This window comes from Homo sapiens, chromosome 3 (genome assembly GCF_000001405.40).
Source record: "Homo sapiens chromosome 3, GRCh38.p14 Primary Assembly".
NCBI classification, from domain to species: domain Eukaryota; kingdom Metazoa; phylum Chordata; class Mammalia; order Primates; family Hominidae; genus Homo; species Homo sapiens.
The window spans coordinates 57,754,198-57,773,212 of NC_000003.12; the positions used below are offsets into that span (position 1 = coordinate 57,754,198).

At 43.4% G+C, this 19,015-nt stretch overlaps 1 protein-coding gene across 48 annotated transcripts in view, besides 6 other annotated features; it reads left to right on the plus strand.

The window, feature by feature from the left end:
• Positions 1,218 to 2,120: an enhancer, noted in NCBI's record as "NANOG-H3K27ac-H3K4me1 hESC enhancer chr3:57741142-57742044 (GRCh37/hg19 assembly coordinates)". NCBI's record gives its function as "activates a minimal SCP1, AML or CMV promoter by ChIP-STARR-seq in primed H9 embryonic stem cells {active_cell/tissue: H9 hESC(primed)}" and the evidence as "EXISTENCE:reporter gene assay evidence [ECO:0000049][PMID:30033119]".
• Positions 1,218 to 3,022: a biological region, named in NCBI's record as "NANOG-H3K27ac-H3K4me1 hESC enhancers GRCh37_chr3:57741142-57742044 and GRCh37_chr3:57742045-57742946".
• Positions 1,710 to 1,989: an enhancer, noted in NCBI's record as "active region_19995". NCBI's record gives its function as "activates an Ori minimal core promoter by ATAC-STARR-seq in GM12878 lymphoblastoid cells {active_cell/tissue: GM12878}" and the evidence as "EXISTENCE:reporter gene assay evidence [ECO:0000049][PMID:35858748]".
• Positions 2,020 to 2,199: an enhancer, noted in NCBI's record as "active region_19996". NCBI's record gives its function as "activates an Ori minimal core promoter by ATAC-STARR-seq in GM12878 lymphoblastoid cells {active_cell/tissue: GM12878}" and the evidence as "EXISTENCE:reporter gene assay evidence [ECO:0000049][PMID:35858748]".
• SLMAP (sarcolemma associated protein) overlaps positions 2,112 to 19,015 on the plus strand; it is a 173,705-nt gene continuing 156,801 nt past the window's right edge. For 46 of the 48 annotated variants that reach the window (NR_165328.1, XM_005265456.5, XM_005265468.5 and 43 more), the window contains exons 1-2: positions 2,112 to 2,145; positions 2,351 to 3,652. Coding sequence is in view for 46 of the 48 variants with exons in the window: in XM_005265456.5 (XP_005265513.1) it covers positions 3,455 to 3,652 (198 nt within the window). In the remaining 2 variants the exon portion in view is untranslated. Of the gene's footprint in view, positions 2,146 to 2,350; positions 3,653 to 19,015 lie in introns of those variants that run through there. The other 2 variants (XM_047448894.1, NM_001304421.2) reach the window with 1 other exon arrangement.
• Positions 2,121 to 3,022: an enhancer, noted in NCBI's record as "NANOG-H3K27ac-H3K4me1 hESC enhancer chr3:57742045-57742946 (GRCh37/hg19 assembly coordinates)". NCBI's record gives its function as "activates a minimal SCP1, AML or CMV promoter by ChIP-STARR-seq in primed H9 embryonic stem cells {active_cell/tissue: H9 hESC(primed)}" and the evidence as "EXISTENCE:reporter gene assay evidence [ECO:0000049][PMID:30033119]".
• Positions 2,570 to 2,849: a silencer, noted in NCBI's record as "silent region_14484". NCBI's record gives its function as "represses an Ori minimal core promoter by ATAC-STARR-seq in GM12878 lymphoblastoid cells {active_cell/tissue: GM12878}" and the evidence as "EXISTENCE:reporter gene assay evidence [ECO:0000049][PMID:35858748]".

A 19,015-nucleotide genomic window follows, 5' to 3' on the forward strand; every position in this document is an offset into this window, starting at 1 on the left:
CTATTTCACAGTATCAATTAAATGTTTATAGAATGAATGTATGAAAGAATGCATAAATGACTTGCTATTCGTGCAAAAAAAACTCATTAGGGATCTGTGGAGGGTCCTATCTTATTTTATTCCTTAACAGCCTAAAAGTTATCAGAAGTGAAAACTTTTCATCCTCTCATAAGAAAGCTTTCCAACATATCCTCATTTTGAATAGCATACCTGGAACACAGTGGTAGCTTGACACATATTTGTTGAATTGATGAAGAGCTTGAAAAACGAATATAACGTCTTTATTATATAATGCCTATTCTTTCCAGACTCACTTTGTGTCCCGCCTACTTTATCCTCTAATAATGAGTAACAGTATGTAATTTTCATTCATGCATCAAATACTTATTTATCCACTATTATGTGCCGGCACATTGGTGCACTGTTTCAAGTAGGCTCCTTCTTTTCCTTGCTATCCGTGTTTGTGGAAATTCATGAAACCATTCAGCGAATACCATATTTATTGTGGTTTTCCTATCTTCCTTCATTCAGTTCAGTTACTTCTCCCAGACCATCCCTGACCCCTTGGGCAGCTAGTGCCTGCCTCTATCTTAGCCCTGATTACATCAATTTCATGTTTGTCACTCCCTACCCTCATTTCTAACCCACAATACCGTTATGATCTCAGAAGGCAGGAATTGAAGTTTGGTTCAGTTATGTGTCCCCAGGGCCCAGCAAAAACCTAGGACACGGCCAAACTGTCTATATAAGTATTGAGATGAATAACTGCTACTTTTTCTTTCTTTCTTTCTTTTTTTTTTTTTTTTTGGAGAGACAGTTTCACTCTTGTTGCCCAGGCTGGACTGCAATGGCGCGATCTTGGCTCACCGCAACCTCCGCCTCCCGGGTTCAAGTGATTCTCCTGCCTCAGCCTCCCAAGTAGCTGGGATTACAGGCATGCGCCACCACGCCCGGCTAATTATGTATTTTTAGTAGAGACGGGGTTTCTCCATGTTGGTCAGGCTGGTCTCAAACTCCCGACCTCAGGTGATCCGCCTGCCTCGGCCCCCCCAAAGTGCTGGGATTACAGGCGTGAGCCACCGCGCCCGGCCTAATTGCTACTCTTTATTGAACAACATGGATTAACATTTTGAAGTCTCACCACATCAAGTGAATTAACTATTATTAACATGTCATCCATGAGAAAAAAGAGGCTTGAAAAAGTTTAGAAACTTGCTTAAGGTCACACAGTGGTGGAGCCTGTTATTGCAGGAATCTGAAGAATGAAGTCACCTTTGATTCTAAATGAGTAAGTCTCCTTCTCACTATTTTTTCTTAAAGTTTTCATTTAGCCCTTGCAAAGTCTTCCTTCTTTAGACCAATGACTCCTCATCTTGATATTGTAAGTGGGGGAAATACCCTCTTTTTTCACTTTGGAAATTATTCAATCTCTCTTTGGAAGAAACATGATTTTAAACTTTCTGGACGCTCCTTCTGTGGAAGAATCCGCGCAGGAGCCCTGGGGGCACATAATAGGTTCAGTGAGAAAGACTGTCATTCGAAATGGAATGCGGGAACTAAGATTTTTTTTTTCCGGGAAGAAAACATAACGAATTTAGCAGAGGGGAGAATGGTCCTTCTGTTAGGTGCACAAATCCTAAGACTTCAGGGAGTTTGGCGGCTCACACTTAAGGTAGCTGCGGGTGACTGTGTTGCCCACAGCTAAGATGGCTGCTAATGACCATCTCCTTTGGCTGGGTCTGTTCTTTTGCTCGCTAGTATTTTCATCGAGAATTAAACAGAATAAAATTTAGTAAAAGTTGGCACCCCCTTGCTAAGTAGATAAAATAAGAAGGTGGCACTGTTTGTTTGAAAAACCTTCTACGGCGCAAATTGTTCTTGCCCTTAACCAAAATGGTCGTTAAGGTTGTCCCGAGGTTTGAAGCTTCCAGCCCTTAACTAAGATGGCGCCTGGAGGCCCGTTAAAAATTACCTTGCCCTTTTTTCTGCCCTCTACCAACACGGCTTCCGTGGCGTCGTTCACGTGACATTCCTGGACTACGGCGCGGGAGAGGGGGTAGGAGGGCCCTTGAAGGGTGCGCGTTCCCGTGGCGGTGCACCGGGTAGGTTTCAGTCAGAGTCACTATGGCGGCCGGCGCTGGCAAGGTAAGCTGAGGCGGTGGTGGCGGCTAGGGAGGTAGGACCCGTCGTGGCGTCCTGGCTCCAAATCCTCGTAGCCTGCTTGCGGAGAGGTCGGCGGAGGTCGTGCCTAGCGGTGTGGGCTGGCGGGGGTCTGGCTGGAGGGGGCGACGGCTGAGGCGGGCGGGCTGAGGCGCCTGACGGCCGTTTGTTTTGATGTTTTCCCCACCAGGTCGGAAAGTTTCCTGCCTCGTCGGGCGCAGCTTGAGCTTGCCCCATCGGCCGCGATCGGTGGAGGCTGCGGCGGATCCAGCCCGGGGCCTCAAGGCCTCTCCCCAACCTCCGGGCCAGTCTCCCTCCCCCACCTTCTCGTCCGCCGGGAGCTGCGGCTGCCGTCCCTGAGATGCGACCCTCGCGGGGGCGACCCTGAGGGGAGGCGGCCCATGTGCTGAGCGGCGGCCCAGAAGCCTAGGCGTCCGGGGACCAACTTCCTGCCGCCTGGGAACTCGAGCCTCCCGGTGTCGCGCCTCGCTCGGTCCGCACCGGCCTGCGGAGCCGGGTCCCCGCCCTGGTCGCGGGGACGCTCGCCAGGTGCCCAGGAGTCCCGACTTGGCCACTGCCCGCGCCCCGCCGGCCTCCACGCCTCGCGCGGAGAACCTCAGCCACCGCCGTCTCGGATCGTGCCAGGCCGGGGACCGCGTCCCCCTTCCCGGGGCGGCCTCCGCTCAGCAGGGGCGATGCAGACTGTCCCGCCGGCCGTCTAGAGCCCCTCCGTCTCCGTCACCTCTCGCCCCTTCACTCCGGGCGAGGACTGGCGGTGGCTGCCCAGAGGTGCCCAGCCACACCTTCCTTCGGCCCAAAAGGACTTTCCTGGCCGCGCCGAACCGACCCTTCATTCATGCTGCAGTGCTGCAACGTTTCCGCCACCAAGGGGGAAAAGCGGCCGCGATCTCAAACCAAACACAAGAATTGGCGTGTGACTCATCTGCTTGGATACCTCCAGTCCCCAAACTGTGTTCCAGGAGTTTTCTTGGCCGAAGCTGCCCGATGTTTGAGCCTTTTCTTCCCAGAGAAGAAGATGGACTGAAAGCTGCCAGTTGGGGACTTTTTGTGATCACGGCGTTGCAGCGTTTTAAAGGAGGTGATGGGGCTTGCGCTGGCTTGTCTTCCCACCCAAGTGAAGAGTTGATGTTCACTGGTTATGCTTAGACAATGTGCAGTTTGTGTTAATTTAAAATTTTGGGTGGGATAGGGGCATAGGCTTGTGAAGGGCAGTCCGGATCCGGAGGAACTCCTCTTTGTCCCTGGTAGGAGAGACACCCCCAGTCTATCCTCGATGCCGTCAGCCTTGGCCATCTTCACTTGCCGCCCGAACTCGCACCCGTTTCAGGAGCGTCATGTCTACCTGGACGAGCCCATCAAAATCGGCCGCTCAGTGGCCCGCTGTCGACCAGCGCAGAATAATGCCACTTTTGATTGCAAAGTGCTATCAAGGAACCACGCTCTCGTCTGGTTTGATCACAAGACGGGCAAGGTAATGTCACCACATTGTCCAGCGGCATTGTTTAACAAACTTTTTTTCCCCTTTTGCCCTCCCTGAGAGGACTAATGTATGCAGGATCCCAGGGTTTGCATCCAGAGGAGGCTTTGCGCAAAGCCACGAATCAACTGTTTGTGTGCCTGGTTCTAGTGGAAATTTGATTGAGGTGGTTGAATGGAAAACAGAGAAGGTATTGTAATTAAAAGCCTCAGGAGGGCTATGGCATCTTGATAACGTGGTCATTCCCAGTGAAATCCCAAACTAGATAGTGAAACTTGGCGTCTTGCTTTTAGTCTGTTTAGAAAGGTGAATTCACAGTTCAGCGCTTTATTAAGCAAGCAGCAGTTCTCGAAGCAATTCGGGGAATCCGTGGCCATTATTATCCCGGGGCTCAAGTGTCTTAGTGGTGAAATGTAGTTAACACATAGCTTTAGGTGAGTTCAGATCAGGACCTTTCTAGTAAGGATAATTGCTGATATAAACCTAAGATTTTTGAAAGGTTTGATACATACTTGCCCTTGGAGGAGTAATTTGCAATAATCAAAGCTAATTTAATTAAGCATGAACAACTGTAACTTTATATATTTTCAGAGTTTTTTTTACAAGTTGGAGAACATACACATATTGCGTTTGAAAATCACTTTTTGATGTTCCCTGCAGCACTTATTAAGTACTTAATGCATACTTACAGAGGTGCTATTCAAAAGTTAGTGTTAGGAAATAAACTTACTTTCTGAAATTATACCCTATTCTGTCAATTATAGCATTACTTAAATGTGATACGATGAATTCAGTGCTTTTCATTTTAAGCGTAACCAATTTAGTATTTTTATGTTAGTATCGTAAGTTACTATACATGTATGTGCTTTTATTTTAAGAAGTGAAGAAAGAAATTAAGATCCTTTCCATTTTTAAAAACTGTTTATTTATGTTTGTGGAGAGTATACTAAAGAGCTCATCTTTGTGCCTAAACCTCAGGTTTTTAGCTGAGCTACTGAATCAGTTCCAACTTTAAGTTATGTAAGACTAATAGGACTGTCTCAGGTTTCACCTCCTGACTTTTTGCCCCTCTTTCTGAGTTAAATAATTAAATCTTTCTTAAAGGAAGAACTTAAGTCTTCAAGAATATGTTTTGAAATGAAAGAAACCTGAGCCTCAAAAGGAAGAGAAAAAAATGATACTTCGGCAGCTACTGATTTAAGGAATTATTTTGTAAATTATTTTTTAAAGAAAGGAGGAAAAGATTGTCCAAGTGCTGTGTGCTGCATAATATCTATACTTTACGTGTAGGATGAGAACTGAAGAGTATGTTAACTTTTCTGTTTAACACCAGATCCTCATTTACCTGTGGAACAGACCCTTCACTCGCTCCTCGCAAGCTGAAGTTAGGGTGCCTAAAATACTTCATAGATTACTCGTAATCCTTTTTTTTTTTTTTTGAGACAGATTTTTGCTCCTGTCACCCAGGCTGGAGTGCAGTGGCGCTATCTCAGATCACTGCAACCTCTGCCTCCCGGGTTCAAGTGATTCTCCTGCCTCAGCCTCCAAAGTAGCTGGTATTACAGGCACACGCCACCATGCCTGGTTAATTTTGTATTTTTAGTAGAGACAGGGTTTCACCATGTTGGCCAGGCGGTCTTGAACTCCTGACCTCAGTTGATCCACCTGCCTCAACCTCCCAAAGTGCTGGGATTACAGGCGTGAGCCACTGCACCTGGCCCTCATAATTCTTTAAAATGAATATTCATAGAACTCATTTTTCCAGCAGTTGAATTCAAACATCAGTTTACTACTAAGTAGTGCCTTAACTCAACCAGCTTTTACATTTTCACCATTTTATGTTCTTGGGCAACAGGTCTAAACTAATCAGACAACAGGTTGGCTCACAGTACATACTCTGCGAATGCACTTTCTTTGATGAAACACTCGAAGGGGACTCCCATTTTTTGTTTTACTTATTTGAAAAATACTGATTTCATGCCCAGTGCTTTCCATGGCTGTACTAAAACTCTCACAATAGGTTATTTTGAGATAACTAAGAATAGGTCAGTAGTGACTGTTTCATGAATTGAGATGACATGTTAATATTTGTTTTTTTTCTTTGAGATGGAGTCTCGCTCTGTGGCCAGGCTAGAGTGCAGTGGCGCAACCTCAGCTCACTGCAACGTCTGCCTCCTGGGTTCAAGCGATTCTTGTGTCTTAGCCTCCTGAGTAGCTGGGATCACAGGCGCATGCCACCATGCCCAGCTAATTTTTATATTCTTCGTAGATACTGGGTTTCACCATGTTGGCCAGGGTGGTCTTGAACGCCTGACCTCAAGTGATCCACCCTCCTCGGCCTCCCAAAGTGCTGGAATTACAGGCATAAGCCACCACACCCGGCCATGAAATTAGTTCTTCAGAAAAACTTATCTTTGAATGGTAGATATGGCTTATTTCTACCATTTTCACTTTTTTCCTCCTGCTTTATTAGCTAAAATAACACGCAGGCTATGAGACCACTACTTTAGATATAGATGTAATTATTGATTATTATACCACTTAATCTAGTTATAGCGGATGCTCTGTCAGATCTTACCATGTCATTGAATTGTTTTAGGAATTAACTATTTAAAGTTTTGGTTTGGACAGATAGTAGGTTTTAATTGAGCATCTATTATGTGCCAGACACTGTGAGGGATACAGTTCCAAAGAAAACCCACAGTGCGACCAAATAGTTCTCGTATGAAATTTGCAGTGTCTGTAGTCCCACCTACTCGGGATGCTGAGGCACGAGGGTTGCTTGAGCCCAGGAGTTTGAGGTTGCAGTGCTGTGATTATGCCACTGCACTCCAGCCTGGGTATCAAAGCAAGACCCTGTCTCTTAAAAAAAAAAAAAGAATCCCTTCAGAGAAGGAGTTTCGTTCTTGTTGCCCAGGCTGGAGTGCAATGGCGCGATCTTGGCTCACCACATCCTCTCCCTCCTGGGTTCAAGTGATTCTCCTGCCTCAGCTTCCCGAGTAGCTGGGACTACAGGCATGCGCCACCACGCGTGGCTAATTTTGAGTTTTTAGTAGAGACAGGGTTTCTCCATGTTGGTCAGGCTGGTCTTGAACTCCCAACCTCAGGTGATCCACCCACCTCAGCCTCCCAAAGTGCTGGGATTACAGGCATGAGCCACCGCGCCCGGCCAGGTTTTTTTTTTTTTTTAAACATCTGGGGATGATAATGGTACCTATTATTGTTTTGAGAATTGAGGTAATTATATAAATCACTTAGCACCCTGTCCCTGGCTCTTACTAAGCACCCAATACTCAGCAGAGAGGGTGTTTAGTGGGGAAGAGGGAACTATTTAGACAACACTGTGCAATTTGCTATAGTGCTATGGAGTCTTAGGAAGGTGATGAGAAATTATTTTCTTTAATGTGATGGCATATATAGAATAAATTTTGTTTTTGTTTTTGTTTTTTGTTTTTTTGAGACGGAGTCTGGCTCTGTCACCCAGGCTGGAGTGCAGTGGTGCGATCTCAGCTCACTGCAACCTATACCTTCTGGATTCAAGAGATTCTCCTACCTCAGCTTCTCAAGTAGCTGAGATTACAGGCATTCATCACCATGCCTGGCTAATTTTTGTATTTTTAGTGGAGACAGGGTTTCACCATGTTGGCCAGGCTGGTCTCAAACTCCTGACCTCAGGTGATCCACTTGCCTCGGCCTCCCAAAGTGCTAGGATTACAGGCATGAGCCACTGTGCTTGGCCAGAAGAAATTTTTAAAATTGAAACTGATGTAGTTGATAACTTTGTCTAAATTGGCAGTTTACCTGGGCGGTCGACAATTGGGGTAATATGTGCTTTGGGTGACTTTCACTTTGTGGTGACTGTTGCATTCTGCATTGTCCATTATGGGAGGCTCATTAAAAGTTGGAAGAAGGCCGGGCGCGGTGGCTCACGCCTGTAATCCCAGCACTTTGGGAGGCCGAGGCGGGTGGATCATGAGGTCAGGAGATCGAGACCATCCTGGCTAACAAGGTGAAACCCCGTCTCTACTAAAAATACAAAAAATTAGCCGGGCGCGGTGGCGGGCGCCTGTAGTCCCAGCTACTCGGGAGGCTGAGGCAGGAGAATGGCGTGAACCCGGGAAGCGGAGCTTGCAGTGAGCCGAGATTGCGCCACTGCAGTCCGCAGTCCGGCCTGGGCGACAGAGCGAGACTCCGTCTCAAAAAAAAAAAAAAAAAAAAAGTTGGAAGAAATAGGCCAGGCTTGGTGGCTCATGCCTGTAATCCAGCACTTGGGGAGGCTGAGGCAGACGGATCACGAGGTTAGGAGATCGAGATCATCCTGGCTAACACGGTGAAACCCTGTCTCTACGAAAAATACAAAAAATTAGCTGGGCATGGTGGCATGTGCCTGCAATCCCAGCTACTCGGGAAGGCTGAGGCAGGAGAATTGCTTGAACCCGGGAGGCGGAGGTTGCAGTGAGCTGAGATCGCGCCACTGCACTCCAGCCTGGGTGACAATGTGAGACTCTGTCTCAAAAAAAAAAAAAAAGTTGGAAGAAATAATAAACACTTGAAACTTTATGATTATTCAAATGATACATGTTCATTTTAGAATATCTGCAAAATGTAGGCAGGTGGAAATCTAAGTGACACTTTTTAATGCTAAGCTCATGGAATATCTTATTGTATAATACTTAAATCTGCATGTTGAAGGGTGACAGGTTTGGCACAAAGCAGAGTTTCATAATCTTTACCAAATCATCTTCTCAGTAATGTAGCAGTTGGATATTGCCTTGTTGGATGCTGGCCCTGTGTATTATCCTTCATCCTTTTCGGAAGTCAAGCTCTTCAAATTAGATGGCAGATAGTAGAATGGTTTTTTTTTTTTTTTTTTTTTTTGAGCCGGAGTCTTGCCCTGTCTCCCAGGCTGGAGTGCAGTGGCGCAATCTCGGCTCACTGCAACCTCTCCCTCCTGGGTTCAAGTGATTCTTCTGCCTCAGCTTCCCAAGTAGCTGGGATTACAGGCATGAGCCACCATGCCCAGATGCCTGGCTAATTTTTTGTATTTTTAGTAGAGACAGGGTTTCACCATTTGGCCACGCTGGTCATGAACTCCTGACCTCAGGTGATCTGCCTGCCTCGGCCTCCCAAAGTGCTAGGATTACAAGTGTGAGCCACGGTGCCCAGCCTAGAATGGTTATTAATTCCTCTGTTGATTCAAGGCACCACTGAGCAAGCAGATCTACCCATATAGTGGTTACATAGAAAGGATAGTGAGTGAACTCTTGTGATTTGGATGGCCCTATTTGATTTGAGGCTTTGGGGTACCGGTGACATGCTAGTGGTTGACATAGTAGTCTATTTCCAGTTTCACTGAAGTTTACTTACTAGTGGTAGTAGTTGTCTACTTCTAGTCTCACGTTTAATTTAAACTTAGTGCATCTTTTTTTTTTTTTTTGAGATGGAGTCTCGCTCTGTCACTCAGGCTGGAGTGCAATGGTGTGATCTCGGCTCACTGCAACCTCTGCCTCCTGGGTTCAAGCAATTCTCTTGTCTCAGCTTCCTGAGTAGCTGGGATTATAGGCACACACTACCACGCCCAGCTACTGTTTTTTATTTTAGTAGAAACGGGGTTTCACCATGTTGCACAAGCTGGTCTCGAACTCCTGAGCTTAGGCAATCCACCCGCCCCGGCCTCCTAAAGAGTTAGGATTACAGGTGTGAGCCACCGCGCCCGGCCTAGTGCATCTTTTTGAGCACCTGTTCTATCATGATTTGTTTTAGTGAAGGGCATAGTGGTAAAGGGGGAGAAAATGACAAACTGATGAGGATTTGTTATTTCTTCTTTCTAGGAACTTTTACATTGGATAGAGAGGGTGACAGTGCACTTTGAAAATAGTTGAGATAGGTGATATTATGTAAGTTTCAATGGCAAAAGAATAATGACATTTGACTTTAAAATTAGGGGTGGATAGATAAGAAAAGGTGTTTTTTTGGTTATTTTTATTTTTTTTGTGGGGATGAGGATGGAATAAAAAGCAGATAATTTTGAATGAGCTTTGCATTTTCCAAATGCTGAGGAAACTGACTTTGTTGGATTAGAGAGTTCTTTGAAGAGTAGCCAAGGGTGCACATCTATTCTGTGTGATGTTCTTGTTTGTGCCTTGTCTTTGTAATTAATTTTCACACTCTGGAAGACAGGAACGTTTTCCTACTATCTTGTATAAAGTAGTTGTTGAATAAATGAAGCTGACTAGATAGTGTGGTGCCAGGTTGTGAAGTGCCTTGCTTACCAAGCTTAGGATGTGGACCCTTGGGTTATGGAAGGCCTACGAGAGTTCTGAGCAGAGCACTGACATACCAAACCCCTGTTTAAGAAAGAGTGGGCCGGGTGCGGTGGCTCACACCTGTAATCCCAGCACTTTGGGAGGCCGAGATGGGTGGATCACCTGAGGTCAGGAGTTTGAGACCAGCCTGGCCAACATGGTGAAACCCCACCTCTACGAAAAATACAAAAATTAACCAAGTGTGGTGGCATGAACCTGAAATCCCAGCTACTTGTGAGGCTGAGGCAGGATAATCACTTGAACCCAGGAAGCGGAGGTTGCAGTGAGCAGAGATCCCATCTTTGCACTCCAACATGGGCAACAGAGGGAGACTGCATCTCAAAAAAAAAAAGAAAAGAAAAGAAAGAAAGAGTGATACAATAGTGATACAATAGCAGTATGTAGAGTTGCCTGGAGCAAGGAAAAATGGGTAACAGCTTAAATAACACTTTTGTACTAACTATATACTGGGCCCTATTCTAAATGCTTTACTTGTTAACTTATTTAATCTTCAAGTAACTCTTTGAGGTGCTTGTTTTTTCTGCATTGACCTGTGAGGAAATTGAGGCACAGAGAGATCTTGGTCAAGTTCACCTAGCTATTAAATGGTAGAATTGAGATTTAAACTCAAGCTCATAACCACTGTGCTATTCTAAAGGCTTTATAACACTTTAGATATGATGTGATTTTGTGAGGGCATAGACCAGGTTAACAGTAGGAATGAAAATGATTAAATGCCAGAAAATGAAAAAAGATAAGAGTATTAAATTAACTTGCACATTAGGACTTCGGCAAAGCGCAAGGTCCTGTGTGAACTGAAGACTTTAGGGAAAGTTTAATGGATGAAACAGTTTCATGGATGAAATCCAATTTAAACTAGACCTTAGGACTTTTAAAAAGAGGAAGAATGGCCAGGAACAGTGGCAAATGCCTGTAATATCAGCTACTTGGGAGGCTGAGTCTGGAAGATTGCTTGAGGCCAGGAGTTTGAGGCTGTAGTATGCCAAAATTGCACCTGTGAAAATCCACTGCACTGCAGCCTTTGCATCATAGCAATAATTTGTCTCTAAAAAACAAAAAGTTCAAAAACTTGTATTTGCCAGGGGTGCATCAGGTCTGTAGCCCCACCTATTTGGGAGGATGAAACAGGAGGATCACTTAGGCCAGGAGTTCAAGGCTATAGTGCACTATGATTGCTCTAGCCTGGGTGACATAGTGAGACCCATCTTAAAAAAAAATATGGGGTTAAGGGATAGATTGTAGTTAGGGTCAGTCAGGGAAAGGAGTTTTGGGTGGGAGGAAGAAGCAGGGATGATACGGCATGTTCCAAGGACATTGTAAGGAAGACATTGTGAAGAGCCTGCTGAATTTGACAACCAAGATTGTTTCTTCTTTTTTCCTCCACACATCTAAACATGACCACAAAGATCCTAGCCTCAGCTTTTGGGAGAATGGCAGGTCATACATTCTTTTACTTTTTATTTGTTTGTATGTTTGTTTTAACAGATACTTAAGTTTTTTGTTGACAGAAGTATAAAGATCATTAAGGGGTGCTGGTGTTTGTGAGAAAGTCTTTTACTTGACAAGTTGTATTTAAGACACATAATGTGAACATGTATAGGAAGCCAGATTATATCTTTAAAGCACATGTTCATTTCCCTCTATATTATTTTTCATAATAGTGGGAAATTGATAAAATATTTTATCTGTGATTTCAAATTGTTAAAAATATCGACAGTGTATATACTTAAAGCATTTTTTTTCCCACTTAGTTCTTTGACATTACTCCTTAGGTTAAATTCACTCTTTGCCCTTTTAGGCTTCTGTCTGATTTTCTTTCTTTTTTTTTTTTTTTTGAGACGGAGTCTTGCTCTGTTGCCCAGGCTGGAATACAGTGGCGCGATCTCGGCTCATTGTAAGCTCCGCCTCCCGGGTTCACGCCATTCTCCTGTCTCAGCCTCCTGAGTAGCTGGGACTACAGGCGCCTACCACCACACCCGGCTAATTTTTTTTTTTTTTTTTTTTTTTTGTATTTTTAGTAGAGACAGGGTTTCACCGTGTTAGCCAGGATGGTCTCGATTTCCTGACCTCGTGATCCGCCTGCCTCAGCCTCCCAAAGTGCTGGGATTACAGGCGTGAGCCACCACACCCAGTCTACCTGTCTGGTTTTCTTAAGTGATATTTCTGCTAGAGCTTAGTATTTATTCTTTTTGGTAAGTAGGGAAGAGAATGTCATTTAGAGTTTTAAGTGAAAAGATTGTGAAGTTAACTCTTAATATATGTCAGTTACTTCATAGTTACTTGAATCAAGAAAAATGGTGGCATTTATTAGCGGCTGAAACGTTCTAAGTTTACAGTCCAGACTCTTTCCTCTTCTCAGGTACATGCTTCTCTTACTGACACTATATAGGTAGATAAATAGTTACACCTTTGCTTAAAAATCTTTGACGTTGCCTCATTAATTTTTAGCATTAAAATCTATATCTTATTTTCTTTTTTTCTAGCTCTCTCTTTTATTACTGTTTTTTCTTCACCCCAAACTTTGTGTACTAGCTGTATGACAGTGTTCACTGTTTCTAGAACAAGTGCCTTTTTTTGCTGTTTTGTCTTCTAGAATGACCTCTTCTTGTCATCCCTTAAGGCTCAGTTCCAATGTGAAACCTTCCCTGACTCCCTTTAACTGAAGAATTAATTGCTTCTTCCTCTATACTTCCATTTAACTTTGTGTATAATTTCTTTATTTCTTTTTTTTAAATTTATTTTTATTTTTATTTTTGAGACAGGGTCCCTCTCTGTCACCCAGGCTAGAGTGTAGTGGTGTGATCTTGGCTTACTGCAGCCTCCACCTCATGGGTTCAAGCAGTTCTCCTGCCTCAGCCTCTCAAGTAGCTGGGATGACAGGCACCCCCCAGCACACCTGGCTAATTTTTGTATTTTTAGTAGAGATGGGATTTCACCATGTTGCCCAGGCTGATCTCGAACTCCTGGCCTCAAGCAATCCACCTGCCTCAGCCTCCCAAAGTGCTGGGATTACAGGTGTGAGCCACTGCACCCGGCCTGTATATAATTTCATTATGGGACATAAACAACAAAATAACTATGATGCAAATGTACTACTGTCCCATCAGATGTGAACTCTTGAGAGCAAGAGAATAGGCACTACATTCATGTTTGAATGAGGGAAATGTGAACAATGGAGCGGTTTGTATTTCTGCAAACCTGTGCAGTGTTAAAGGGCAGAAAGTCATTCAAGTTAGTTCTCAATTTGAGATCATGGACTCAATTATCAATATGTAGTCTTTGTATAAGTCATTATTTATTGAGAGCTTGCAGTTTGCAAAACATTTTGCTAAGTGTTTTTGGATCGTAGATCCAAATCTTGTGATTGGTGATATGAAATTATATATATGAACTATTACAATTTCACACAAAATAATTTTAAAAGGTTTTAGAATAATCAGAGTGCTTTCTTGTTTCATTTGGTCTATATAACACTCTTAGAAGGTAAGTAAAACAGCTGCAGTCTGGCTCGCTTTTGTCCAAAAAGAGTTTGATGTTTAGAGGTTATTTGTACAAGATCATCTAGTGGTAACTATGGGAGTTTTTTTCCCCCCAAAATGAAAGCCAACTATTAGACATTTATTCTGAACTGTCTTCTTAGGGACTGAGCAATTATTATGAAAATCTGTCTTTTGCTCTCTTGAAAGGTAATCTAAGCTATTGCTTTTTGATGTATAACCGAAACTTGTCATATTACGGACTTTCAAAGACTGAAATAACTCAAGTTAATTATTTCTCTGAGTCAGCTAACATTTTTAAAAACTTACCTCTACTACTCCTAGAAATACAATATTTTTTCTTGGGCTTGCATTCAGGCAAACTGATTTGGCTTTGGGTATATATGAAAATGAATGAAACAGCCTTGGAAAAACTTGTTTGGCCATGTACATTTTTCATGCTTTATAAGAGAGTAGCTGACAAATGTAAAGAAAAGAAGGAAAGCTTATATAGGCACTTGAAAATATGGACGTGTTTGGTGGTTAGTACTGTATCTTTTGTCAAGTATACAATTTGGGTTGGATTTTAAATTTAAGCACATAGAAACTGTGTGTTAAGATTTTCTCAATATTTTCAGGCTTACAGTTTTATTTATATATAAGTACTGACTTATTCTAGCTGAGCCAAGCAGAAAGGATTTTCCAATATAGACTTTCAAGCTTTTCTTATTTTTTACTTATACAAATAACAGGAATACATTCTCATAAAAAGTCAAGCAGGCCAGGTGTGGTGGCTCACACCTGTAATCCTAGCACTTTGGGAGGCTGAGGCAGGAAGATTGCTTGAGGCCAGGATTTCAAGTTCAGCCTGGGCAACTGTTTATATGAAATGTGTAGAATAGGTAAATTCATAGAAACAAAGATTGGTGGTTTCTAGGGGCTGAGGGTAATTAGGAATGTGATGGTTAATTTTATGTCAGTGTGGCTAGGCTGTGGTATCAGTTTTTCACTTGACCAACTTTTGGTCAAACACCAACCTGATATTCCTGTGAAAGTATTTCTTAGATGTGACTAACATTTATACCATTATACTTTGAGTAAAGCATATTACCCTCCATAATGTGGGTGGGCCTCTCTAATCAGTCGAAGGCCTTAAAAAAAAAGACTGAGGTCCCCCTGAAGTTAGGAATTTTGCCCTCACAAAGCTGTTGGACTCAAGACTACACAACAGCTCTTCCCTGAATCCCTAGTCTAATGATATGCCCCGCCAATTTCATACTTGCCAGCACCCCCCACCCCAGTTGCGTGAGCCAATTCCATTAGATAAATCTCTCTATATAAATGTACATGCAATCGGTTCTGTTTTTCTAGAGCCTTGACTAACATAGGATATGACTGCCAAATTGGTACGAGTTTCTTTTTGGGATGATGAAAATGTAAAATTGATTGTGGCGATGGTTGCACAACTCTGAATTGTATACTTAAATTGGCAATTGTATGGTGTTTGAATTATATCTCCAAAAAGGATTTTCATTTTATTTTATTTTTTTTTTGAGATGGAGTCTTGCTCTGTTGCCCAGGCTGGAGTGCAGTGGCGCGATCTTGGCTCACTGCAAGCTCTGCCTCCTGGGTTCACGCCATTCTCCTGCCTCAGCCTCCTGAGTAGCTGGGACTACAGGGCGCCTGTCACCACGCCCAGCCAGTTTCTTGTATTTTTAGTAGAGATGGGGTTTCACCGTGTTAGCCAGGATGGTCTCGATCTCCTGACCTCGTGATCCGCCCGCCTTGGCCTCCCAAAGTGCTGGGATTACAGGCATGAGCCACCGCGCCCGGCTGGATTTTTTTTTTTAAGACACAAGGTCTCACTATGTTGCCCGGCTGGTCTCAAATTCCTGGGCTCAAGCAACCCTCCCACCTCAGGCTCCCAAAGTGTTAGGATTACAGGGTGAGCTACCGCACCTAGGCCCAAAAAGGAATGTTAGATGAAGTAATAGCTTAGTGAAAGCAGCTTGGGATATAGGAAGTAGAAGACAGTGAGTGAGTATTCAAGGTAGGTAGGATTAACAGAGCAACTTTTGAAGTACCATATAGTTTGATTTTTCTCTCTGCTTCCTTATTGTGAATGTCTTACTCTTGGTTGGACCTTTGTTTTAACAAATGTAGTATATAGATAGTACGTTTCCAATCTTGAAATATTTGTTTCTAGGCACAATTTTGGTGTTATTGAGAAGTTGTAGTGCCAGAGTATTAATGTGAGAATTGAGAGAAATGGTTAAGATATAGTTTAAAAGTCTCGATCTGCACCTCAATCAGTTCAGCATAAGATTGATTTTACTTACCAAGGAATCTTTGATGTATGCAGGCACATACATAGAAGCAGTAAAGTATTGTTAGGATGAACTGTACTAGTTTGATTAGAAGACAGTATTCATTTAAATTGTAGCTGAACCCAAACTGGGGCCATTATGCATTCTTAGTCTTTAGTATCTGAGTGTCTCATTCTTGCAGTGCGGTGTGGTGTCCAGCACATAATCCTGGAAAAATATAATTACGATACAAATAAGTCAAACAATAGTAGCATCTGTGAATCATTGTTTCCAGGGAGCTAAGAGAGTGATGTATTCCTTCCCCCAGGATTGGGGGCAGAAAATGTGGGAGCAAAGAAGAGAGCTTCACAGAGAAAGTTGTTTTTAAGCCACTGTTTGAAGAGTGAGTAGGGCTTTGCTAGCTGGATAAAAAAGAGCAATGCATTCTAGCTGGAAGCATATGTTTAAGGCAGAAAAGCCTGAAAGAGAGTGATGTATTCTGGGAATGCAAACCCAGAAGTTGACAAAATTGGGGGGAAGAAAATAGAGCTGCTGTCAGTTCTTTGGGGGTAGTCGAGAACTGAAGGCAGATGCCTTAAGGGAGGCAGTGTAGTCAAAGATTTTGGAGTTGGACTACTGGTATTGGAATCCTGGCTCCATTGCTTGCCAGATATGTGACCTTGGGGAGTCTCTGTGTTTTCAGTTTTCCTCATATGTAAAAGGAGGCTAATAATCGTATTTACTTCATGGGACTTTTGTAAACATTTGATGAGAATTGTAAAGCACTTAGCAGAATACCTGGCACAGGATAGGCAGTCAATAGCTTGTGGCTGTTAGAATTTTTCTTTCTTTTTTGGTTGGTGTGTTTGTATAGTAATACCAGTTGAATATCCCTTATCAAAAATGCCTGAGATCAGAAGTTTTTTGGATTCCAGATTTTTTAGGATTTTGGAATATTTGCATTATACTTACACTTACCAGTTGAACATTCCTAATTCAAAAATCTGTAATCAATTTGCTCCAAAATTCAGAACTTTTTGAGTACTGACATAGTACTCAAAGGAAATGCTCATTGGAACCTTTCAGATTTCAGATTTCAAATTTTCAGATTTGGGTTGCTCAACCTGTATTACTTACGCAAACTCCTCTCCTGTATGCTGCTCCTGCTCCTCCCTCTGCTCTCCCCTCCCCTCCCCTCCCCTCCCCTCCCCTCCCCTCTCCTCTCCTCCCTTCTCTTTCTCCTCCTCCTCCTCCTTTGAGAGAGAGAGAGAGAGAGAGAGGGAGAGAGACTTACTCTGTCACCCAAGCTGGAGTGCAATGGTGGATCACAGCTCACTACGGCCTCAACCCAACCCTGCCTAGGCTCAAGCAATCCCCCGTCCTCAGCCTCCCGAGTATATGGGACCACAGGTGTATGCCACCATGCCTAGCTAACTTTAAAATTTTTTATAGAGATGGAATCTCGCCATGTTGCCCAGGCTGGTCTCAAACTCCTGAGCTCAAGTAATCCCCCTGCCTTGCCTTCCCAAAGTGTTGGGATTACAGGCATGAGCCACTGCACCTGGCCTTTTTCTTCTTTTTTTTTAGACAGGGTCTTGTTCTGTTGCCCAGGCTGGAATACGGTGCAGTCACAGCTAATTGTAACCTTGAACTTTGGGCTCAAATGATCCCCCCACCTTGGCCTCCCAGACTGCTGGGATTATAGGCATGACCCACTGTACTTGGCCTTATTTTTTGTAAATGTGCTTTTTCATTGTTGAAAAAATTTCTTCTTTGAATATATCTTTTGAGTTCCCTAAACTAAGTAAATTCTTTTTTGAATGCGTGAAACTTTTTTGAATATGTTAAAGAAATCATCTGTTGATTAATGCGTGTTATCCACTTCTACTAAGTTTGTACAGTTTCCCTGTTAAAGCAATAAAATCAGTAGCATACTTAAGATCCGCCTTACTTGAAGATTTGAAATTAAAGAAGTTGGGTAAATTACAAGAATCTAGTCAGTCAGTTAGGAAAAATATAAAAGAACCTATAATGCTCTTATCAGGCACCATAGAACATGGTGAAATTACGATATTACTTCAGTCTTCAAGGAGTTTCTCGTTTAATTGGAAAGCTAAAGCTAACTCCCATAAAGAATTAAGGAAGAATTAAGAGCACTATGTGATCAAGATTGAGAAGGCTTGTTTGTCATGTAAGGGGGACTTGAATTGGACCCTGAAGATTTAGGGTAGAGAATAACAGGTGTCCTTGGTGTATATGTCCTTGGTGTATAAAGGTCTGTATTGAAAGGCATTCCCCAGAAGAACAGTCAGGAGGCAGTTGAGTCTGGAAGAACATTTTATCAGTTGAGGTTTTAGTTATATGCCACAGACATTGTTGATAGCTGATTTAAGAAGAATAGCAGTATGTTGAAAGGGGATTGGGTTGTTTTCAGAATCGTTGAAAGGCTGGGATTCAGTTTGGAAACCGATGCTGGAGTCACAGCCAAAATCGTGCCACAGAAGTGGCGTTGTGCAGACATGGCTGCTGCATTTCTTGAGCACTTATACCTCAGCTTATAATGTTGACATTTGATATTGGATGATGCCTTTGGCACTGTTGTTATTGCTGCTTCTGAAAAGTGGGTGATGATGCTTCTGCTCTGCCACCAGATAAATCTACCATCATGTTTCTTTTTTTTAATTTTTTTTTTTTGAGATGGAGTTTCACTCTTGTTGCCCAGGCTGGAGTGCAGTGGCATGATCTCGGCTCACCGCAACCTTTGCCTCCCAGGTTTAATCGATTCTCCTGCTTCAGCCTCCCGAGTAGCTGGGATTACAGGCATGCGCCACCACGCCTGGCTAATTTTGTATTTTTAGTAGAGACAGGGTTTCTCCATGTTGGTCAGGCTGGTCTTGAACTCCGGACCTTAGGTGATCCGCCCGCCTCGGCCTCCCAAAGTGCTGGGATTACAGGTGTGAGCCATCACGCCCAGCCTACCATCATGTTTCTTTGTGACACTAACTCCTGATGTAAAGTGCTAAGCTTGTATGTTTGGTTGAGCCTAGGTACATGACCATGACTTAGCTTCAAAGGAAGCTATAAACGACAGCGTGTGTCATTTCAGCTTTTAGTGGGGGGATAGGCTTTGCCTCCCACCAAGTTGGATAATTATCCAGTAATAGCCAGTGGGTTGAGATGCCAGCATCCAAGAAAATGACCAGTGTTTCCTCCAAGTAGAGTTTGTATTTTAAGGAGCCCTGTTACTGG